Raw genomic sequence first — 24,591 nt, forward strand, 5'->3', positions numbered from 1 at the left:
GCTTCTTAGATCTGTGCATTCTGTCTTTCATCTATTTTAGAAAAATCTCAGCCAATATCTCTTTAAATACTTCTTTTGCTGATTTTTCTCTCCCCTCTCCATCTGGGACTCCAATTACACATATGTTAGAATGCTTAATATTGTCTCCATTCTTGGACACTCTGTTCCATATTTTCACTCTTTTTTTCTCTTTGTACCTTAGTTTGGATAATTTATACTGACCTGTCTTCAAGCATATTGATTCTTCCCTCTGCTGTGTTCAGTCTGCTAAGCCCATTGAAAAACATTTCCTTTCTAATTTTTCATTTCTAGCTCTTCCATTTGGTTCTTTTTTATAGTTTCTACCTCTTTGCTGAAATTTCCCCATCTGTTCATGCATTTTATCCACCTTTTCCACTAGAACCTCTACATATTTATCAGAGCTATTTCAAAGTCCTTCTCTGATAATTTAAAATCTCAGCTATCACTTCATCTGCTTCTAGTACTGTTTTCTCTCTTGACATGGCCATACTTTTTTTTGTCCTTTGTGTGTCTTTGTGTGTTCTTTGTGTTTTTTATTATATGCTGGGATATTTTATGTAAAAGAACTGTAGAAACTAACAAAAATTTTAAAAAAAAGGGAAGCCCCTTTTTGTCAGATCACTATTGTGGGGGAAATTAGTCAATGTGATCTGTAGTAGAGCTGGATCTGAGCTTTGTTGCAGCTTTAGTTAGATTCAGTTCACCACTGGCTTCACATGTTTTGAGGGCATATCAGGATTCCTTTCAGCAGGGCTTAGACTCTGAGCACCAGCAATATTCTAGTAAACTCTTTATGCTTTAAAGTGGGTTGCCTGTGTGGGAGGATGGCTTGAAGCCAGGAGTTTAAGACCAGCTGGGCAATATAGTGAGACCCTATCTCTACAAAAAATTTTATAAAATTAGCCAGGCATGGTGGCATGAGTCTGTAGTCCTAGCTAGTTGGGAGGCTGAGGAAGGAGGATCTCTGGAGCCCAGGAGTTTAAAGTTACAGTGCGCTATAAACACACCACTGCATTCCAGCCTGGGTGACAGAGGAGATCCTGTGTCTAAAAAAAAATAGGGCCGGGCACAGTGGCTCATACCTGTAATCCCAGCACCTTGGGAGGACAAGGCAGGCGGATCAACCAAGATTAGGAGTTCAAGACCAGCCTGGCCAACGTAGAGAAACCCCGTCTCTACTAAAAATACAAAAAATAGCCAGGTGTGGTGGTGTGTGCCTGTAATTCCAGCTATTCAGGAGGCTGAGGCATGAGAATCACTTGAACCTGGGAGGCGGAGGTTGCAGTGAGCCGAGATTGCGACACTGCACTCCAGCCTGGGTGACAGAGTGAGACTATTTCAAAACAAAACAGCAACAACAAAAAACGAACCAAACAAACAAAAAAACCAACAGGCCGCCAACTTTCTGAACTGTGGAAGATCTCTTTCTACTTTATAGCTCAGCTGCTAAATTTGGGGATCACCTGAGATTTATTCTCACCCCCAATTTTCTGTGCCTCAGGAAATCCCTCTCCACCTTGCTGCCCTGCATCTAGCTTTTGCAAGGTAGCTTCTGTACCCCTGGCTAATGCCTGCAGTGCCCCTACTAATTTATTTTATATTTTATTTTATTTTGCTTTTTTGAGACAGAGTCTTGCTCTGTTGCCCAGGCTAGAGTGCAGTGGAGTGATGTTTGCTCACTGTAGCTTCTGCCTTCCAGGTTCAAGTGATTCTCCTGCCTCAGCCTCCCAAGTAGCTGGGACTACAGGCGCGCACCACCATGCCCAACTCATTTTTGTATTTTTAGTAGAGACGGGGTTTCACCATGTTGGCCAGGATGGTCTCGAACTTCTGACCTCAAGTGATCCGCCTACCTTGGCTTCCCAAAGTGCTGGATTTGCAGGCATGAGCCACTGTGCCCAGCCCCACCTTTTATTTTATTTTATTATTTATTTATTTATTTTGGATGGAGTCTTGCTCTGTCGCCCAGGCTGGAGTACAGTGGTATGATCTCTGCTCACTGCAACCTCCACCTCCCAGGTTCAAGCAATTCTCCTGCTTTGGCCTCCTGAGTAGCTGGGATTACAGGCGCCCGCCACTAGGACTGGCTAATTTTTGTATTTTTAGTAGAGACAGGGTTTCACCATGTTGGTCAGGCTGGTCTCGAGCTCCTGACCTCAGGTGATCCACCCACCTCAGCCTCCCAAAGTGCTGGGATTATAGGCGTGAGCCACTGTGCCCGGCCACCTTTCATTTTTTAACAGATGCATCCATAAGTAGATTAAGACTTTTTCCTTCATATCCCCAATAAGAAAAAAAGGAAATTGTAATAGAATTCACTATGGACCCACAGACTTTGTCCACTGGGAAAATCATGAAAATGAGAATGACCCTTCCTTCTAGTTGGTACCACAACTCAGACCAAGCGCTGAAGTACTCAGAGACTCTTCTGCAAGGGTGCAGGCATCTCTATCACTAACCCCAACTACAAAGAAGCAATACGACCTCTGGGATTCAGAACTATTCAGATAGTGGAAGAATCTCATTTTTAAACAGAGGGCTAAAATCAGTGAGGGTACTATCGAGATATGGTATAGGTGTTAAATATGTAGAAAATAAATAGTATATAAAAGCCTTTGATTGGTTTCTGAGACTTGGTATCCTAAAATTTCATCTTATGAATTAGACAAAACAAAATACAACCTAAGAAGAGAGGCAGCATAGATTAGGGGTTACGCACATGGACTCTGGAGTGACAGCCCCTTGCCCTAGGCTTGTATTTAACTCCTTTGTGCTTTGGTTTCTTTAGCTATAAATTGAAGATAATGGCAGTACCCCCTTCATAAGGTTATTGAAGATTATATAGTTAACCTATAATTATTTATTTTATAAATTAATAGACAAGCACATAGAATATTACTGGCTTATAACAAGCGTTATGAAAATGTTTTAAATTATTATCAGCACTAACTTTGGCAGATTTAGAAACACCAGGATGTGTATACAATAATGTAAGTTAAGATTTGGGGCCCAGGGCCGGGCACAGTGGCTCATGCCTGCAATCCCAGCACTTTGGGAGGTCGAGGCGGGCGTATCACTTGAGGTCAGGAGTTCGAGATCAGCCTGGGCAACATGACAAAACTCCATCTCTACAAAAAATACAAAAATTAGCCAGATGCTGTTGTGCACGCCTGTAGTCCCAGCTACCTGGGAGGCTGAGGTGGAAGATCACTTGACCCTGAGGGGTCAGAGGTTGCAGTGAGCTGAGATGGCGACACTGCACTCCAGCGTGGGTGACAGAGAGGGACCTTGTCTCAAAAAAAAAAAGCTTTGTGGCCCAAATTGCCTTCACCCACTCCATACACACGTTCTCAGCCCAAAGTTTCCAAATATTTTCTCCATATAACTTAAAGATGACTTTTCCTAACTACCCTCACTTTAAGGACTTAATACAGTTGTACATATATTTCTGCTATGTGGATCTCAGACACATAAGGCTTGGCAACAGGGAGGAGACAACCTCAGTTGGCTCCTCGGGAAGTAGGACATGCCTCCACAGTCAGATAGCTGGAAAACAGATGGATGGACCAGGCAGAAATGCTTCTGGACCATTTCTAGCCTCTGGGAAAAAGAAAACAAGGAATACTGTGGAGCTCCAGAAGTACCAAGAACTCCAAGGAATGTGGCTTCTACAGGGAAGAGCTTATATCTTTCCTGAAATTGTGGTCCCAGAACTTTAAAAATTGCTGGATATTTGATAATCTGGATATTTGATTCCTCCTGTGAAGGAGGAACAACGGTGGTTTGAACACATATATTTATCTCCTTTCCTGGAGCCCCAGAAAAAATGAGAGCAAATGAATAAAACCAGAATAAACCCACAAGAACAAAGAGAGTGGGAGAAAAACATCAGAGGATGAGAAGATGGAAAGCTAAGTGGAAAAATCAGCTGTGGTGAGAAAGCTGTATACCAAGTGTCTGCAGAGGTGGTGCTCATGAGAAGCTAGCCATTTCCTGCCACAGAATTCCAGCTAGGCTCAAATACTAGGGGATCCAGGAACCCAGGAAGAAGAATGGGTGAAAGACAAGAGGATTGGTTGAAAGTCTCTAGGCCGGGAGCGGTGGCTCACGCCTGTAATCCCAACACTTTGGGAGGCCGAGGCGGGTGGATCACGAGGTCAGGAGATCGAGACCACCCTGGCTAACACGCTGAAACCCCGTCTCTACTAAAAAAAAATACAAAAAAAAAAAAAAAAAATTAGCCGGGCATGGTGGCAGGCGCCTGTAGTCCCAGCTATTCGGGAGGCTGAGGCGGGAGAATGGCGTGAACCCGGGAGGCGGGGCTTGCAGTGAGCCGAGATCGCCCCACTGCACTCCAGCCTGGGTGACAGAGCGAGACTCCGTCTCAAAAAAAAAAAAAAAAGGAAGTCTCTATAAGGATTAGGTAGCCTCTAGAGCCCTCTATGATCTAGAACCTTTCAGGAGTCTGGCAGGAGTCTAGAGGTTTAGTCTGTGGAGCAACTGAACCAAAGGGGAGCCTTAAGAGAGAGAGCGAGCCACTGGAAGTCTACATATTGAACCATGAGACACACCCTTCTCTGTCCATTCCTACCCCAGCCCCCACAGTCTCCTTATCCTGGTGGCTAGGCTGCTCCCTCCCTAGGCATGCAAATGGGGGAATTTTCAGGAGAAACTAAACAGCCCCAGAGAAATGACCTAAAGTTGGGGCTTCCATTATGAAAAGCTACCAACGGACAAACCTCATACATAGATACAGAATTCAAATCAGTCTTTTAATACCTACCTCTTTGATGTGAATGGACAAAAAAGGATCACCAGACTTTTAAGGAAAGCCCGAAAATAAATGAGGGAGACGAAAAGAAAAAGAAAAAGAAAAAGACTAATAGAACATGTAACTCCCTTTGTTTCTGGGGTTTCCCACACTCTTCTCTTCCTTCTACCTCCCTGGCTGATCCTCTCCAATCACCTTTGCTGGATCTCCCTCACCTCCTTGACCTTTACATGTTGCAATGCCCAGGACACAAGGACCTCTTCTTTTCTCCATCTACACTCACTCTTTTAGTAAGCTTATCAGCCTCGTGGCCCTAAATATTCTTTATATGCAGTTGACTCCCAAATGTATATTTTTAGAGCAATTTATCTTCTGACTCCAGACTGTATATCTCTATGCGTACTCAGCCTCTCCACTTGGTGACCTTACAGGCACCTCAAAACTAATGTGTTCAAAATATATTACTGGCCGGGAGTGGTGGCTCATGCCTGTAATCAATCCCAGCACTTTGGGAGGCCAAGGTGGGCAGATCACCTGAGGTCAGGAGTTCGACACCCGTCTGGCCAACATGGTGAAACCCCGTCTCTACTAAAAATACAAAAATTAGCCCGGTGTGGCGGTGCATGCCTGTAATCCCAGATACTTGGGGGAGCTGAGGCAGGTGAATGCTTGAACTTGGGAGGCAGAGGTTGTAGTGAGCTGAGATCATGCCACTACACTTCAGCCTGGGCGACAGAGTAACACACTGTGTCAAAACAAAACAAAACAAAAACCCAAAATATATTACCAATCTTCTCTCCAAGAATCTGTATCTACTAAAGTCTCCCTCATCTTAATAAATGTCAACTTATTAATAATTTTTTTTGAGACAGAGTCTCTCTCTGTCCCCTAGGCTGGAGTGTAGTGGCACAATCTTGGCTCACTGCAACTTCCGCCTCCCAGGTTCAAGCAATTCTCCTTCCTCAGCCTCCTGAGTAGCTGGGATTACAGGCACACAGCACCATACCTGGCTAATTTTTTTGTATTTTTAGTAGAGATGGGGTTTCACCATGTTGGCCAGGCTGGTCTCGAACTCCTGACCTTGTGATCCATCCACCTCGGTCTCCCAAAGTGCTGGGATTACAGGCGTGAGCCACCGCGCCCGACCAATAAATAAATATTAATAAATATCTTTCCAGTCGCTCAAGCCAAAAATGTTATGTATTAGTTTGTTCCCCTAAAAGTGTTCAAGTAATTTATTTTAGAAGTACAGGGACCACTTGAAGGAGAGTGGGAAATGACATGTGGAAGGGACAGCAGCCAATAAAGGGTGTGTTATTAAGCCAGCTACCACTGATTGACTGGATCTCAGTCCTGCAGGGAAACTCCAGGAAATAGTGTAGAACACATGCCTCAGAATTATCCCACCTGAGGGAGAGAGAGCCAGGAGTATTTATACCTCAGCTCCTGAGAATCACTGGTTGAGGGCTTCCCCCAGGCAGGATAATTTTTCAGCACTTTCAGTCTAAGGTAGGAACCGTTAGAGTGGCTTTCCTTTTGTACTTCTGGCAAAGGCCTCAGGCTCAGAAATGCAGATGTCTGGGGCACTGACAGCACTGAAATTTTTGAATTATTTTTAATGCCTCCCCTTTTCTCATACCCCATATTTGGTCTGTTATCAAATTCTACCTTCAAAATGTAGTTAGATCTATAGTGACGACCTTCACTCAGGCCACCATCAACACTGAGCTGAAGCCAAGCACTAGTTGGCCTTGTGGTCTCCCTGCTTTCACTCTTGCTCCCTGGATAGTTTCCTAGGACTGTGTAACAAAGTACCAAAAACTAGGTGGCTTAAAACAACAGAAATATATTGTCAGACCGGGTGCTGTGGCTCACACCTGTAATTCCAGCACTTTGGGAGGCCGAGGCTGGTGGATCACCTGAGGTTGGGAGTTCAAGACCAGCCTGACCAACATAGAGAAACCCTGTCTCTACTAAAAATACAAAATTAGGCCGGGCGTGGTGGCCCATGCCTGTAATCCCAGCACTTTGGAAGGCCAAGGCGGGTAGATCACGACGTTAGGAGATCGGGACCATCCTGGCAAACGTGGTGAAACTCCGTCTCTGCTAAAATTACAAAAAATTAGTTGGGCATGGTGGCGCACGCCTGTAGTCCCAGCTACTTGGGAGGGTGAGGTGAGAGGATCACTTGAGCAGGGAGATAGAGGCTGCAGTGAGCCACTGTCATGCTACTGCATTCTAGCCTAGGCAACAGAGTGAGACCCTGTCTTAAAAAATAAAATGGTAGGCTGGATGCAGTGGGTCATGCATATAATCCCAGCACTTTGGTAAGCCAAGGCGGGTGGATCACTTGAGGTCAGGAGTTCGAGACCAGCCTGGCCAACATGGTGAAACCCTATCTCTGCTGAAAATACAAAAATTAGCCAGGTATGGTGGTGGGCACCTGTAATCCCAGCTACTCGGGAGGCTCAGGCACAGGAATAGCTTGAACCTGGGAGGCGGAGGTTGCAGTGAGCCGAGATGGGACTATGAACTTTTTTAAAGTATCATTTTTGTTCTTTGTAGTTTCGATTGCTGATTGCACACCTTTTCATGCCTTCTTATGTGAATTCCCATTTTTTCTACTGCATTGTTAATCTTTTACTATGGACTTGTAGTAACTATAGTTAATTTTATGACAGTTTTTGGGAGAAGTTTTAATTTTTCGTGTAATTAATATATTAGGTTTTTTTATGGTTTCTAAATTGTAGGTCTTGTTCAAAAATACCTCTCCTTCTGCTACCCTAAACTTGAAAATATTCTATATTTTCTACTATTATTTTATTATTTTATTTTATTATTATTTTATTATTTTGTTTTTGTTTAATCAAACTGGAATTTATTCTGTATATGATATAAAGAATGACTGGAACATATAATTTTTTCCAAACGGATAACCAGTTGTCCCAACAATATTTACTATAGTCATTCTTTTCCTTTCTAATGTGAAATGCCATGTTTATCATGTACTAAAGTCCACCAGGAAAGTAGGTAGGTATGTAGGTAGGTAGCTAGCTAGATAGATGGGTAGATAGATAATCTGGATTTGGAGATTTAACTGTTTTTTTATGTTTATTTAACTTAAGCCAAAAAATTCTATTTGAGTAATTATAGCTTTATTACACATTTTGATATCTGATAGGGTTTCTCCTCCTGCTTGGTTCATATTTTTGGCTATTTTAACATTTTTTGTCAGCTTGCTTAATTTCACTTTAAAAAACACATTAATAGATTAATTTGAGGATAAATGACTTTTTTTTTTTTTTTTTTTTTTTTTTGAGACGGAGTTTCACTCTTGTTGCCCAGGCTGGAGTGCAATGGCACGATCTCTGCTCACTGCAATCTCTGCCTCCCGGGTTCAAGCGATTCTCCTGCCTCAGCCTCCGGAGTTGCTGGGATCACAGGCATGAGACATCACGCCCATCTAATTTTGTATTTTTAGTATAGACGGGATTTAGCCGTGTTTGTCAGGCTGTTCTTGAACTCCTGACCTCAGGTGATCCGCCCATCTCAGCCTCCAAAAGAGGTGAGATTACAGGCGTGAGCCACCACACCCAGCAACATCTTTAAAAGAAGTGGCTTTCTATGTGTTATTTGGGTCTTATTTATATCTTAGAGTAAAACTGCACAATTTTATTCATGGAGGATTTTCACACTCTTAATTTATTTCTTGGTTCTTTATAAATTTTGCAGCAATTATGAATTGATATTCTTTAATGACATAGTCTAATAAATTATCATTGGTCATAGGAAAGCCATTGGTGTTTTGTTGTTGTTGTTGTTTTGAGATGGAGTCTCGCTCTGTCCCCCAGGCTGGAGTGCAGTGGTGCGATCTCAGCTCACTGCAACCTCCGCCTCCCAGGGTCAAGCAATTCTCCTGCCTCAGCCTCCTGAGTAGCTGGGATTACAGGTGCCCACCACCATGCCCAACGAATTTTTGTATTTTTAGTAGAGACGGGGTTTCACCATGTTGGCCAGGCTGGTCTCGAACTTCTGACCTCAGGTGATCCACTCACCTCAACCTCTCAAAGTGCTGAGATTACAGGCGTGAGCCACCGTGCCCGGCCAAGCTATTGATTTTTATACGGTAATTTTATATGGTAATTTTATACATAATCATTGTATTAACTGTCATTCATTCTAGTAATTTTCAGTTGATTCACTTGGAGTTTTTTCTTTTCTTTTTTTTTTTTTTTTTTTTTAGACAGGGTCACTGCAGCCTCTACCTTCCAAGCTCAAACAATCCTCCTGCCTCAGCCTCCTGAGTAGCTGGGACTATAGCTGTGTGCCATCATGCCCAAGTAATTTTCTGATGTTTTGTAGAGATGGGGGTCTCACTGTTGCCCAGCCTGATATCAAACTCCTGGGCTCAAGTGATCCGCCCCTCTTGGCCCCTCAAAGTGCTGGGATTACAGGCATGAGCCACTGTACCTGGCCTCTTTTTCTTTTCCTTTCTTTTCTTTTTCTATTTGTTTTGTTGTTGGTGGTGGTGTTGTTGAGACAGGGTCTTAGTCACCTAGGATGGAGTGCAGCAGCATGATCATAGCTCACTGCAGCCTTCAACTCTTAGGCTCAAGTGGTCCTCCAGCCTCAGCCTTCTGAGTAGATCGGACTACAGGAGTGCACCACCAAGCCTGGCTAAATTTTTTAAAAAATTTTTTATAGAGACAGAGTCTTGCTGTGTTGCTCAGGCTAGTGATTTGCTTGGATTTTCTAGGTAGCATCTTTAATCTTCAAGTCCAGCTACTGGGGACTTGTATTATCTCTTTTTAAAAATATTAATACGTCTTCTTTTACTTGTCCTTAGTCAATATAATGTTGACTAGTAAAGATGAAAAATTGGTATGTGTTTCTTGTTCTTTATTTTAGTGAGGTTTGCGGTTTGCCTTTTTTTGTGTGTGCGTGAGACGGAGTCTTGGTCTGTCACCCAGGCTGGAGTGCAGTGGCGCGATCTCGGCTCACTGCAAGCTTCGCCTCCCGGGTTCACGCCATTCTCCTGCCTCAGCCTCCCGAGTAGCTGGGACTACAGGCGCCCGCCAACACGCCCGGCTACTTTTTTGTATTCTTAGTAGAGACAGGGTCTCACTGTGTTAGCCAGGATGGTCTTGATCTCCCGACCTCGTGATCTGCCCACCTCGGCCTCCCAAAGTGCTGGGATTACAGGCGTGAGCCACCGCACCCGGCCGCGGTTTGCCATTTTTATTATAACATAATTTGGAGGATTGACCCTCATTTATGAGAAACATGCATGCATTATCCAATCAAGCTGTTTACTTAGAGATGCCTCATTCAGCAGATGGCAAGACATCATGGAAGAGATATTCTAGGTCTCATACAAATGTCCTGGTCAGGTGACCAAGATGTTAACAGTTTATATGAGGTGAGTTTCATGGAGACTAAGGGGCTGCCCAAATACTTTCTCAGTTACCCCTTATACCTTGTTCTTGCATGGGTAGGACAGCTTGTGCATATTACAGTAACATGTGCAACTTAGCAGGATGTATCTGTATTTAATGTAAAATATTTAATAGAATACATTTGTATTTAACATTTAGATACTTATTTAACCCTGAATTATTGCCTTTGTGGGATTCACAGTGTAGGCATTCCCTTATGGGAGACCTCCACTACAAACATAATGTTTGCTTTTGGTTTCTGGTAGATACTTTTTATTTTGTTTTGTTTATTTACTTATTTTTTTTATTTACGTATTTTCTTTTTTTTTTTCTTGAGACAGAGTCTCAGTTTGTTGCTCAGGCTGAAGTGCAGTGGCATGATCTCAGCTCACTGCAACCTCCGCCTCCCAGGTTCAAGTGATTCTCCTGCCTCAGCCTCCAGAGTAGCTGGGATTACCGGCATGCACCACCATGCCTGGCTAACTTTTGTAATTTTAGTACAGACGGGGTTTTACCATGTTGCCCAGCCTGGTCTGAAACTCCTGGCTTCAAGTGATCCACCCACCTCGGCCTCCCAAAGTGCTGGGATTACAGGTGTGAGCTACCGCGCCCGGCCTATTTATTTACTTATTTATTTTGAGACAGCATCCGGCTCCGTCACCCAGGCTGGAGTGCAGTGGCACAATTATAGCTCATTGCAGCCTCAATCTCCTGGGCTCAAGTGATCCTTCTGCCTCAGCTTCGTGGCTGACACTACAGGCATGCACTACTAGGCCCAACTAATTTTTTTTTTTTTTTTTTTTTTTGAGATGGAGTCTTGCTCTGTCACCCAGGCTGGAGTACAGTGGAACACTTTCAGCTCACTGCTACCTCCACCTCCTGGGTTGAAGCGATTCTCCTGCCTCAGTCTCCCCAGTAGCTGGGACTACAGGCATGCACCACCACACCCGGCTAATTTTTGTATTTTTACTAGAGACAGGGTTTCACTATGTTGGCCAAGCTGGTCTCGAACTCCTGACCTCAGGTGACCTTCCCACCTTGGCCTCCCAAACTGTTGGGATTACAGGCGTTAGCCACCGCACCCGGCCATTTTTGTTTGTTTGTTTGTTTTCTTTTTTTTGAGACCGAGTTTCGCTCTGTCGCCCAGGCTGGAGTGCAGTGGCGCCATCTCGGCTCACTGCAACCTCTGTCTCCCAGGTTCAAGTGATTCTCCTGCCTCAGCCTCCCAAGTAGCTGGGATTACAGGCGCCCACCACCATGCCCGGCTAATTTTTGTATTTTTAGTAGAGATGGGGTTTCACCATGTTGTCCAGACTGGTCTCAAACTCCTGACCTCAAGTGATCCACCCGCCTCAGCCTCCCAAAGTGCTGGGATTACAGGTGTGAGCCACAGTGCCCGCCCCGCTGCCTCTCCTTTTTTTTTTTTAAGACAAGGTCTCACTCTATTGCCCAGGCCAGAGTGCAGTGGTGTGATCATGACTTACTGCAACTTCTGACTCCCGGGTTTAAGTGATTCTTCCTGCTCAGTCTTCCACATAGCTGGGACTACAGGCACATGCCACGATGCTGGGATAATTTTTGTGTTTTTAGTAGAGATGGGGTTTCACCATGTTGGCCAGGCTGGTCTCAAACTCCTGACCTCAAGTGATCCACCCACCTCGGCCTCCCGAAGTACTGGGATTACAGGTGTGAGCCACTGCACCCGGTCTCTACTTCATCTTCCTCTACCTTTAACAACATTTCTGATCTGCTTAAAGATCCATATTCTCTGTTTTTTCCCCGAATCCTCTCTGTCTGATTGCGTTGGTATCATGGGGACTCCTGTTCCTTCTCCTCCTCATCAATCTTTTTTGTTACCCTTTCCATCTCCTCCTGCTCTGCTTTCTCATTACCTTCCTTTGCCTCCTCCTCTTTACATCTTTAAGTCATGTTTTCACTCATTTATACTTGCAGGAGGGTGATCCAGGACTGGGAAAGGAAAGAAAAATAAAGTGTTTTGTTTGCTGTTATAGTTATCTATTGCTGGGTATCAAATTACCCCCAAAGCTTAGTGGCACAAAGGAACGACCGTTTTATTATGCTTATGGATTCTGGGAGTCAGAAATTCAGAAAAAGAACAGTTGAGGCCGGGCGCAGTGGCTCATGCCCATAATCCCAGCACTTTGGGAGGCCGAGGCAGATGGATCACGAGGTCAGAAGTTCGAGACCAGCCTGGCCAACATGGTGAAACTCTGTCTCTCCTAAAAATACAAAAAAAATTAGCTGGGAGTGGTGGTGCACTCCTATAATCCCAGCTACTCAGGAGGCTGAGGCAGGAGAATTGTTTGAACCCAGGAGGTGGAGGTTGCAGTGAGCCAAGATCACGCCATTGCACTCCAGCCTGGGTGACAGGGAAAGACTCTGTCTCAAGAAAAAAAAAAGAAAGAAGAAGAACAAAAAAAAGAACAGTTGATATGGTTTGTCTCTGCTCTGAAACATTTGGGGCTTCAGCTAGCAAGACTCAAGTAGATGAGGGTAACTCAACTGGGTGGTGGCTGGAATCATCTGGAGGCTTTTTTATTCACCTATCTGGCTCCTTAATCAGGGAGAGCTGGAAAGCTGGGCTCAGCTGGGACAGTCGACTGGATCACTTATACACGGCCTCTCCAACATGGTGGCCTCCAGTGGGGTAGTCAGACTTTTTTTTTATTTTTCTGACGGAGTTTTGCTCTTGTTGCCCAGGCTGGATTGCAATGGCGCGATCTTGGCTCACTGCAACCTCCGCCTCACGGGTTGAAGCAATTCTCCTGCCTCAGCCCCCCGAGTAGCTGGGATTATAGGCATGCGGCACCATGCCCGGCTAATTTTGTATTTTTAATAGAGACGGGGTTTCTCCATGTTGGTCAGGCTGGTCTCGAACTCCTGACCTCGGGTGATCCCCCCGCTTCGACCTCCCAGAGTGCTGGGATTACAGGCGTGAGCCACCATGCCCAGCAGTCAGACTTCTTACATGACAGCTCAGGGTTCCCCTGAGAGAGTGCTCTACTGAGCAAGGTAAAGCACTAGATGGCCTTTTATCACCTAGCCTTGGACATCACATAGTATCAATTCTGCCATTCTCCATTGGTCAAAGTGGTCATAAGCCCATCCATATAAAAGGAGAGAGGACATAGACCCTACCTCCTGATGGGTGAAATCTCAAATAATTTGTGGCCCTGTTTTAAAACCACCAGAAGTGCTCAGTTCAAATCAGTGATACAGCCTCCCTATATCAGAGAGGCAATCCCTTTCTACTTTTTCTAAAATTGCCTCCCCTAGGTAAACTCTCTCATTTAGTTTATTTCTGCTACAATGCTCATCACACTTTGTAGTGATCTTATTCGGTTTTTTTTTGTTTTTGTTTTTGTTTTTTTGCCTTTTATTGTTAGTCTCATTCAAGACTGTGAACTCCCAGAGGACAGGAACCCTGCTTCTCTTGCTCACTCTTGGATTCCCATTACTTACCACAGGGTCTGGCACATGGTAGATACTCAATAAATAGTTGCTGAAAAAACAGAATAACACGTTAGTCAATACATATCTTCACACAACTTAATAGATTCTATGGAACCACAAAAGTCATCTGACTTTACCTTTTCATCATCTCAAACACTCCAAACATAATCTCAAGCCCCTCAAACATCATGCTTGAACACCCCCTAAACTTGGAGCTCACTACTTCCCAAGACCCCTTCCTTCTTTGAATCACTCTGGGTATTAGAAAGGTCTTTTTAAAATTATAGCTGGGTGCAGTGGCTCACACCTGTAATCCCAACACTTTGGGAGACCTAGGCAGGAGGATCATTTGTGCCCAAACAAAAATTAGCTGGGCATGGTGGCGCACGCCTATAGTCCCAGCTACTTGGGAGGCTGAGGTAGGAGGATGACCTGAGTCCAGGGTGGTCGAGGCTACACGAGCTGTGATCACACCACTGCACTTGAGTCTGGGTGACAGAGTGAGACCCTGTCTCAAAAAATAAAAATAAAAAAAAAATAAAAATCAGTCATTTTTCCCAACCTACAGATAAAAGAGGCTTGTTCAGCACTAAGGAGGAAGTGAAAGGGATTGGGCACTTTTTGAGCCCATTCAAAGTCCCAGGCACTCTGTTAGACGCTTTCCATTCATCTCCTTTAATCCTTTCAATAACCCTATGAAACGATTGGTGTCATCTCCATTTTACAGTTGAGGAAGTTGAGTTTCAGAGAGGTGAGGAGACAACTTAAAGTAACATGGCCTATAAAATTGAAATTGGAGAATTAGAATATAAATCGGAATTTGAATGCAGGCTTATCTCATTTCATAATTCATTCCCTTTACTTCATCTTAAGGAAGAGAAAGAAAAATCAATTGGTGTGGTTAAAAAGTGAGTAGAAATAAAGGCTGAAAGTAAAAGCAAACATATTCATTGATTGTTTATCAATGCCTGAGGCATTGCTCTCCTTGCTAGCTATGCCATCTCATTGACAAAGATGGTAAAATCAAATACAGTTGCCAAGTCTCTTTATTCCTGGCGTTTATGAACATGCAGAAAGCTGCCTATGAAATACAAAAGAGACATTTCTGTTCAACCTTGTACTGGAGGGTAATTAAGCAAGAAAAATTTTTTTGAAGTATCTATTTTGAAAAGGAAGAAGTGAAACTATCTCTATCTCTATTTGCAGTTGACATGTTTTTATATATATATACTTTAAGTTCTGGGATACATGTGCAGAATGTGCAGGTTTGTTATATAGGTACACATGTGCCATGGTGGTTTGCTGCACCCATCAACCCATCATCTAGGTTTTAAGCCCCGCATGCATTAAGTATTTGTCCTAATGCTATCCCTCCCCTTTCCCCCCACTCCCTGACAGTCCCCAGTGTGTGATGTTCCCCTCCCCGTGTCCATGTGTTCTCATTGTTCAACTCCCACTTATGAGTGAAAACATGCTCTGTTTGGTTTTCTGTTCCTGTGTCAGTTTGTGGAGAATGATGGTTACCAGCTTCATCCATGTCCCTGCAAAGGACATGAACTGATTATTTTTTATGGCTGAATAGCATTCTATGGTGTATATGTGCCACATTTTCTTTATCCAGTCTATCACTGATGGGCGTTTGGGTTGGTTCCAAGTCTTTGCTATTGTGATTTTTTTTTTTTTAAGTCAGAGTTTCACTCCTGTTGCCTAGGCTGGAGTGCAGTGGCACCATCTTGGCTCACTGCAGCCTCAACTTCCTAAGCTCAAGTGATTCTCCTGCCTCAGCCTCCCAAGTAGCTGGGACTACAGGCATGCACCCCCACACCTGGCTAATTTTTTGTGATTTTAGGAGAGATAGGATTTCACCATGTTGCCTAGGCTGGTCTTGAGCTCCTGGGCCCAAGCAATTCACTCACCTCGGCCTCCCAAAGTGCTGGGATTACAGGCGTGAGCCATTGCGCCTGGCTGACATGATCTTATATATAGAAAACCCTAAAGAATCCACACAAGGCCGGGCGCATTGGCTCACACTTGTAATCCCAGCACTTTGGGAGGCTAAGGCGGGCGGATCACAAGGTCAGGAGTTCGAGTCCAGCCTGGCCAACACAGTGAAACCCCATCTCTACTAAAAATACAAAAAGTAGTTTGGCATGGTGGCAGGTGCCCATAATCCCAGCTACTTCTTGGGAGGCTGAGGCAGAAGAATCACTTGAACCCAGGAGGCGGAGGTTGCAGTGAGCCAAGACCGCACCACTGCACTCCAACCTGGGCAACAGAGCTAGACTCCATCCCCACCTACCCCCCAAAAAACAAAAAAAAGAATCCACACAAAAAACCTGTTAGAGGTAATAAGTGAGTGCACCGAATCCTAACCAGTAGACTACCAGGGAGCGTCATGTTAGATGTAATAAATGAGTTCAGTAAGGTTGCAGATGCAAGTTTAATATAAAAAAATCAGTTGCATAATATTTCTAAACACTAGCAATGAATAATCCTAAATGAAATTGAGAAAACAATTCCATTTACAATAGCATCAAAAATAAGAAAATACTTAGGAATAAATTTAACCATAGAATTTTTTTTTTTTTTTGAGAGATGGAGTCTCACTCTGTTGGCCAGGCTGGAGTGCAGTGGCGCGATCTCAGCTCACTGCAAGCTCCGCCTCCCAGGTTCATGCCATTCTCCTGCCTCAGCCTCCCCAGTAGCTGGGACTACAGGCAAGTGCCACCACAACCTGCTAATTTTTTGTATTTTTAGTAGAGACAGGGTTTCACCGTGTTAGCCAGGATGGTCCCGATCTCCTGACCTCGTGATCTGCCTGCCTCGGCCTCCGAAAGTGCTGAGATTATAGGCGTGAGCCACTGTGCCCGGCGGTTTTTTTTTAAACACTGAAAATTATAAAACATTGTTGAAATAAGTTAAAGAATACATAAATAAATGGAAAGATATCCTGTGTTCATGAATTGCAATACTTAATATTGTTAAGATGGCAATACTCCCCAAATTGACTTACAGATTCAATGTAATTCATATCAAAATTCCAACAAAAAGGCTGGGCTCAGTGGCTCATGCCTGTAATCTTAGCACTTTGAGAGGTCGAGGCGGGTGGATCATCTGAGGTCAGGAGTTCAAGACCAGCCTGGCCAACATGGTGAAACACCGTCTCTACTAAAAATACAAAAAATTAGCTAGGCATGGTGGCACGTGCCTGTAATCCCAGCTACTCAGGAGGCTGAGGCATGAGAATCACTTGAACCCGGGAGATGGAGGTTGCAGTGAGCTGAGATCGTGAGATGGCGCCACTGCACTCCAGGCTGGGCCACAGAGTGAGACTGTCGCAAAAAAAAAAAAAAGAAAAGAAAAGAAAAACCACACACACACATACACACACACACACACACACACACACACACACATACACACACACAAGTTCCAACTGCCTTTCTTGCAGAAATGGACAAGCATATCCTAAAATTCATATGGAAATGCAAGGGACCCAGAATAGCCACAACAATCTTGAAAAAGAAGAACAAAGTTGGATGACTTGCACTTCCTGATTTCAAAATTTACTACAAAGTTACAGTAATTGAGGCAATGTGATACTGGCATAAGGATAGACATAAGATTGACGGGATAGAATTAACAGTCTAGAAATAAACCCTTACATGTATAGTCAACTGACTTTCTTTTTTATTTATTTTTTGAGATGGAGTCTCACTCTGTCACCCAGACTGGAGTGTAGTGGCGCAATCCCGGCTCACTGCAATCTCCGCCTGCCAGGTTCAAGCAATTCTCCTGCCTCAGCCTCCTAAGTAGCTGGGATTACAGGTGCCCGCCACCATGCCAGCTAATTTTGTATTTTTAGTAGAGACAAGGTTTCACCATGTTGGCCAGGCTGGTCTCGAGCTCCCAACCTCAGGTGATGCACCTGCCTCGGCCTCCCAAAGTGCTGGGATTACAGGTGTGAGCCACCGCCCCCAGCAGTCAACTGATTTTCTTTTCTTTTTCTTTTCTTTTTCTTTTTTTTTTTTTTTTGAGATAAAGTCTTGCTCTTGTGCCCCAGGCTGGAGTGCGATGGTGCGATGTCGGCGCACTGCAACCAAGTTCAAGAGATTCTCCTGCCTCAGCCCCCCGAGTAGCTGAGATTACAGGCACCTGCCACCATGCCTGGCTAATTTTTGTATTTTTAGTAGGGACGAGGTTTTACCATGTTGGCCAGGCTGGTCTAGAACTCTTGACCTCAGGTGATCCACCTGCCTCAGCCTCCCAAAGTGCTGGGATTACAGGCGTGAGCCACTGCGCCCAGCAGTCAACTAATTTTCAACAAGGGTGCCAGACCATTCATTAGGGGAAAGAATAGTCTTTTCAACAAATGGTGCTTGGACAACTCAGTATTCATATACAAAAGAATGATTTTGAACCCCTACATCATGCTGTATACAAAAGTTAACTCAAAATGGGCCAAAGACCCAAATGTAAGAGCTAAAACTAAAACTGTTAGAAGACAACATAGGAATAAATCTTCATGATCATGGATTAGATTTCTTAGATAATAACAAAAAAGCACAAGAAACCAAAGAAAAAAATAAACTGGACTTCATCTACATGAGAAACTTTTGTACTTCAAAGAACACCATTAAAAAAGTGAAATAGTTCAGTGTGCAGGAAGGAACGTTAAAAACAAAAAGAGGAAAGTGAAATATCCAGCAGAACGTAGGAAAGTTTTGCAAATCACCTGATAAGGGACTGGTATCAAGGATGTATAAAGGACTCCTGCAGCTCAATAACAAAAGAGATAAATTATCCAATTTTTAAAAGGACAGAAGATTTGAATAGACATTTCTCCAAAGAAGACATACAAATGGCCAGTAAGTACATGGTGTTCAACATCATTAGTACTTAGGAAAATGCAAACCACAAGGCGATACCACCTCACATGCAGAAAGATGGCTATAATATTTTTAATCTAAAAATAAGTGTAGGCAAGGTGCAGTGGTTCATGCCCATAATCCCAGCACTTTGGGAGGCCAAGTCAGGAGGATCAGTTGAGCCCAGGAGTTCAAGACCAACCTGGGCAGCAGAGTGAGATTTTGTCTCTACTCTCTACAAAAAGTACAAAAATTAGCTGAATGTGGTGGTGCACGCCTGTAGTCCCAACTACTCAGGAGGATGAGGTGGGAGGATGAGGTGGGAGGATTGCTTGAGCTGGGGAGGTTGAGGCTACAGTAAGCCATGATTGTGCCACTGCACTCCAGCCTGGGAAACAGAGGGAGACCCTGTCTCAAAGTAAATAAATAAATAAAATTAAGTGTTGGCAAGAATATGGAAAAATTAGAACTCTCATACATTGCTGGTAGAAATGTAAAATGATACAGCTACTGAGGAAAAACAGTTTGGCAGTTTGTCAAAAGTTAAACATAGTTACATATGACCCAGGAATTTTACCTCTAGGATTATATCCAAAAGAACTGAAAATGTATGTCCACACAAAAACTTGTACATGAATGTTCATAGCAGTATTATTATAGCCAAACAGTGAAACAACCCAAATGTCAACCGACTGATGAATGGATAAATAAAATGTGGCATATCCACACAGTGAAATATTATTCAGCCACAAAAAGCAATGAAGCCCAGGCGAGGTGGCTCATGCCTGTAATCCCAGCACTTTGGGAGGCCAAGGCAGGAGGATCACTTGAGCCCAGGAGTCTGAGACCAGCCTGGGCAACATGATGAGACCCCCATCTCTTAAAAGAAAGATGCAAAAGAGCAAAGCTGCCAATTGAGTAGGAGCAGGTGGGCCAAAATTCTATTCAGATGCTAGGTGGTGGCTCGTGGCGAGCTGGTCTAGTTCAGTAGTGTTCAATGAAGGTCTCTGTCCATCTCTAACAGAGTGGCTCCACTTCAGTTTACATTGAAGATTTTTATTTGAATAACGGGTTCCCCAGCTAAAGAAGAATTAAAACCCCTGGCCCAACTGATAAACCAAAGAAGCTCCACCTCAACTCCTAAGCTCCACACTTTGAGGAAAGCTGGGGTAAGGAAAGGCTGGGGAGTCAAAGCACTGACAGAGACCAGTGGCTCAGAGTGCCCCATGCAGCACTGGTAGCTGGCGCCCTGCTTTCTAAAACAGCTTTCTAAAACAGCATCCACTAGTAAGGCTCCCCCTGGCAAGGCCTAGCTTCAGGCAAGCATTGATATATTCAAGAAGTTCAGTTCCACTTATACACCTTGATCAAGGATGTTCTTTGTGCCTGGCTCTCACCCCAAGAGGGGTGAGCCAAGGCCCTGTCTTCAGGTGGCTCAGGCATAAGACATGTAAACATGCTCAGTTCTTGGGGGCTCTGCTCTCCTCTTTTTTTTTTTTTTTTTTTGAGACGGAGTCTCACTCTGTCACCTAGGCTGGAGTGCGGTGGCACGATCTCGGCTTACTGCAACCTCCACCTCCCAGGTTGAAGTGATCTCCTGCCTCAGCCTCCTTGAGTAGCTGGGATTACAGGTGCCCGCCACTACGCCCAGCTAATTTTTGTATTTTTAGTAGAGAAGAGGTTTTTTCATGTTGGCCAGGCGGGTCTTAAATTCCTGACCTCAGGTGATCTGCCCACCTTGGCCTCCCAAAGTGCTGGGATTACAGGCTGCTTTCCTTTCTTGACTCAGCTGAGATCTTGAGCTCAGTGTCTCTCAAAGGACAGCATGACAGCAGCATGGGAGAAGAGAGACATCACATTGTGACTTTTTGGAGGGGGAACAGTAGGAAGGAAGGAGAACTAGTAACTATCTCTGTGCCAGATACACAGGAGCAGGCACATATATAATTTAACTTCCTCCTCAAGACATCCTTAAGCAGTAGGTGATGAGACATACCTGAGACACTCAGAGCTTGTGCATTAAGGAACTGGGATTTGCACCCAGGACCATCTGATTTGAAAATCTGTGCTCTAGAGAAGCTGGCACCTCACCCAGAGTTTTTCACCTTGGCCCCTCTACTGGACCATTTGTAGCTTCCACAATTTATACATTCACTTATTCATTCATTCACTCCATAAATGTCCACAAATAGTCATTTGGTGCCTGGTAGGTTGGTGGACAACAGAGAACAAACCTGAATGCTTGAATGAGCCCTGCCCTCAAGGATTTTCACTATCATGGGAGCCAGGCCTGGAATGAAACATAAGACCAGGAGTTGAGTTAACTGTACCCCCAAAGGAGGCTCTGTGATGGTGTGGCTAGATGGCAAATGGTTTTATTTACTTATTTAGTTATTTTATTTATTTATTTTTTGAGACGGAGTCTCTCTCTGTCACCCAGGCTGGAGTGCAGTGGCGGGATCTCGGCTCACACCGCAACCTCCGCCTCCAGGATTCAAGCGATTATCCTGCTTCAGCCTCCCAAGTAGCTGGGACTACAGGCGCGTGTTACCACGCCTGGCTAATTTTTTTGTATTTTTAGTAGAGGGGGTTTCACCGTGTTAGCCAGGATGGTCTTGATCTCCTGACCTCGTGATCCGCCTGCCTCGGCCTCCCAAAGTGCTGGGATTACAGGCGTGAGCCACTGCGCCCGACCGGCAAATGGTTTTAATATGAAAATAAGAATTCAAAGTTTCGTATGATGGGGCAAATATGTTGTCAATTCTTTACTCATGCCCTACCCTGTCCTGGAGGCATGTGCGATGTGGAAGAATGAGCAACCACCATCAGAGAGAGCTGCAGGGGAAGTGACATTCTGGGTCATGGCTTCTCAGCCACAGCAGGAAGTGGAGGGAGGGCTTGCTGAGCAGGCCAAGGTTTAGAGGAGTTTATTGACTACAGAAATTTGGTTTGGGAGGGTTCTGTAGGAATAGTTTTTGGAAAAGGAACAGTGGGTGTTTGAGTGAGAGTGAGTTTTGAAATGAGAAGGTAGATGATCAGAGTAATCAAGAATCACTCTGTTGAGTGAGACATTTCGGTCCCAACTGGAACTATGGGGTGAATAAATTTCATACTTCAGCCTCTAAAGCTAGTGGAAAAACTATTTTCAGTCCAGGGAACAAGCTGTGGTCTCTGCTCAGGGTAGCAAATAGAATATAGAGAAATTTTGTTAGGAAGTGGGGTTGGGAGAGTCAGCCACAAACCAGGCTATTGGAGACACCGGCATTGTTTAAACTGTAGGTGGAACTTAGCGTGAAGTGAAAAACTTGAACTTTAGTTGGTTTTTCTTTTTTTTTTCTTTTTTTTTTTGAGACGGAGTCTCGCTCTGTCGCCCAGGCTGGAGTGCAGTGGCCTGATCTCAGCTCACTGCAAGCTCCGCCTCCCAGGTTCACGCCATTCTCCCGCCTCAGTCTCCAGAGTAGCTGGGACTACAGGCGCCCGCCACCACACCCGGCTAATTTTTTGTATTTGTAGTAGAGACGGGGTTTCACTGTGTTAGACAGGATGGTCTCGATCTCCTGACCTCATGATCCGCCTGCCTCGGCCTCCCAAAGTGCTGGGATTACAGGCGTGAGCCACCGCGCCCGGCCAACTCTAGTTGGTTTTTCTTTTCTTAGCTGTGCAGCAGTCTGATCGTTTAGTAAATACTTTCTCCCCTTTGAACATTCTGTCCCCTATTACTATTTCCAGTTACTATCTGGTTTAACAGAGAGGTAGCATGATGCTGTGAAAAGAATATAGAGTATGGTGGCCGGGCATGGTGGCTCACGCCTGTAATCCCAGCAGTTTGGAAGGCCGAGGCGGGCGGATCACGAGGTCAGGAGATCGAGACCATCCTGGCTAATATGGTGAAACCCCGTCTCTACTACAAATACAAAAAATTAGCCGGGCGTGGTGGCGGGCACCTGTAGTCCCAGCTACTCGGAAGGCTGAGGCAGGAAAATGATGTGAACCCGGGAGGCGGAGCTTGCAGTGAGCCGAGATCGCGCTGCTGCACCCAAGCCTGGGCGACAGAGCGAGACTCCGGGTCAAAAAAAATAAAAGAATATAGGGTATGGTATCAGTAGACAAGAATGTAGGCACTAGATTAAAAGTCCCAGTTCCGGCCGGGCGCGGTGGCTCAAGCTCGTAATCCCAGCACTTTGGGAGGCTGAGGCGGGCGGATCACAAGGTCAGGAGATCGAGACCATTTTGGCTAACACGGTGAAACCCCGTCTCTACTAAAAATACAAAAAAAAATTTAGCCGGGCGTGGTAGCGGGCGCCTGTAGTCCCAGCTACTTGGGAGGCTGAGGCAGGAGAATGGCGTGAACCCGGGAGGCGGAGCTTGCAGTGAGCCGAGATGGCGCCACTGCACTCCAGCCTGGGCGACAGAGCGAGACTCCGTCTCAAAAAATAAAAAATAAAAAAATAAAAGTCCTAGTTCCATAGCCAATCAGGGAGAGAATTAGCCAGGACTTAAATGCAAGATTTGAACTCCAATTTTTCCCATGCTTCACTTCAGCATCATGTAATGCAAAGCCCGACTTACTTAACTTCCCTGAGCTTCGGTGTCATCATCTGTACAAATACCTTTCTTAACAATATCTACCTTACTGGTGGTTGTAAAGATTGAGTGACAATGAGAAGCCCATAGCAGAGTGCATGGCCAGGATGTGATGCTAATATTTTTTATCATTACATAAAAAAACTACCTGGCTCTGTGACAGCACATGGCAGGTGCTCAAATGAATATCCCACCACACATGCTAGGGGCCTAAATTATCCCCCACCCCAATAATTTGTATATTGAAGTCCTAACTCTAGCACCCCAGGATGTGACTGTAATTGGAAACAGGGTCTCTGAAGAGGTAATTAAATTAAAACGAGGTCACTAGAGTGAGCCCTACTCTAATAGGACTGCTGTCCTTATAAGAAGAGGAAATTTGGACACAGACGTGCACAGAGGGAAGACCACGTGAAGTCACTGGGAGAAGGCCACTATCTACCAAGTGAAGGAGATAGGCCTCAGAAGGAACCAACCCTGCCTACATCGTATCTCTGACTGCCAGCCTCCAGAATTGTGAGAAAATAAATTTCTGTTGTTTAAGCCACCCAGTCTGTGGTACTTTGTTACGTTATGCCGTAGCAAAGGAATACAACACACACACACAAACTCATCGTACCTTTTCAATTGGTGGACAAGGGGCTCCTTCCTTCTGCTGACTAGAAACTGCTTCTTGGCCTGTTGTCCAGTGTTCTCCCACTCAAAGTCCTTACTGAAAGCCCTAAAGATGCTGTGCCTGCTGGGCTGACCATGCTGCCTTGGAGGTGGTGCTGCTCCCTTGGCTTTTGTCTGCTAAGGGGAAGGCATCCAAGAAAGCAAGACCTTTCTCTCTCTCTCTCTCTTTTATTTTTATTTTTTTTTTTTCAGACAGTCTTGCTCTGTCGCCCAGGCTGGAGTGCAGTGGCCCGATTTCGGCTCACTGAAACCTCTGCCTCCCGGGTTCAAGCGATTCTCCTGCCTCAGCCTCCCAAGTAGCTGGGATTACAGGCGCCTGCCTCCACGCCCGGCTAATTTTTTGTGTTTTTAGTAGAGATGGGCTTCCGCCATGTTGGCCAGGATGGTCTCAAACTCCTGACCCCAGGTGATCCACCCGCCTCCGCCTCCCAAAGTGCTGGTATTACAGGCGTGAGCCACCACGCCCGGCCAAGACCTTTCTCTTCTAAAGTGACTGGTGATTTGCTGACCAGAGGCGCTTGTCATGGGACCAGGGAGGGAATGCATCATTCATCAGGGTCCATTCCCGTGGTGCCTTCCGGCTATACGGAGAGGGACGCGCAGTTGGGTGTGTGGTGCTGAATGAAGGGATGAAGGAGGACTGCTAGCGTCTAAGGTGACCCTAAAAGACGAGATGACAGAAGCGATCTGGGGTGGGAGGAGGGAGGAGGGAGGCGAGGTGGCTCCTGTGAATCTCAGTACACTTTCCACTCACAGAAGTGGA

The 24,591-nt window shown here is 44.9% G+C and overlaps 1 protein-coding gene and 1 long non-coding RNA gene across 3 annotated transcripts in view, besides 2 other annotated features; both read left to right on the plus strand.

The window, feature by feature from the left end:
* CLSPN-DT (CLSPN divergent transcript) overlaps nt 1-23,700 on the plus strand; it is a 36,846-nt gene extending 13,146 nt beyond the window's left edge. The window contains exon 3 of the long non-coding RNA NR_199050.1: nt 23,505-23,700. This is a non-coding gene — a long non-coding RNA (CLSPN divergent transcript). The remainder of the gene's footprint in view (nt 1-23,504) is intronic.
* Nucleotides 21,483-21,532: an enhancer, noted in NCBI's record as "active region_737". NCBI's record gives its function as "activates an Ori minimal core promoter by ATAC-STARR-seq in GM12878 lymphoblastoid cells {active_cell/tissue: GM12878}" and the evidence as "EXISTENCE:reporter gene assay evidence [ECO:0000049][PMID:35858748]".
* Nucleotides 23,950-24,449: an enhancer, noted in NCBI's record as "H3K27ac hESC enhancer chr1:36272791-36273290 (GRCh37/hg19 assembly coordinates)". NCBI's record gives its function as "activates a minimal SCP1, AML or CMV promoter by ChIP-STARR-seq in naive H9 embryonic stem cells {active_cell/tissue: H9 hESC(naive)}" and the evidence as "EXISTENCE:reporter gene assay evidence [ECO:0000049][PMID:30033119]".
* AGO4 (argonaute RISC component 4) overlaps nt 24,396-24,591 on the plus strand; it is a 50,255-nt gene continuing 50,059 nt past the window's right edge. For both annotated transcript variants that reach the window (NR_146062.2, XM_005270578.4), the window contains exon 1: nt 24,396-24,483. The gene's annotated coding sequence lies outside the window, so the exon portion shown is untranslated. The remainder of the gene's footprint in view (nt 24,484-24,591) is intronic.

This window comes from Homo sapiens, chromosome 1 (genome assembly GCF_000001405.40).
Source record: "Homo sapiens chromosome 1, GRCh38.p14 Primary Assembly".
Lineage (NCBI taxonomy): Eukaryota > Metazoa > Chordata > Mammalia > Primates > Hominidae > Homo > Homo sapiens.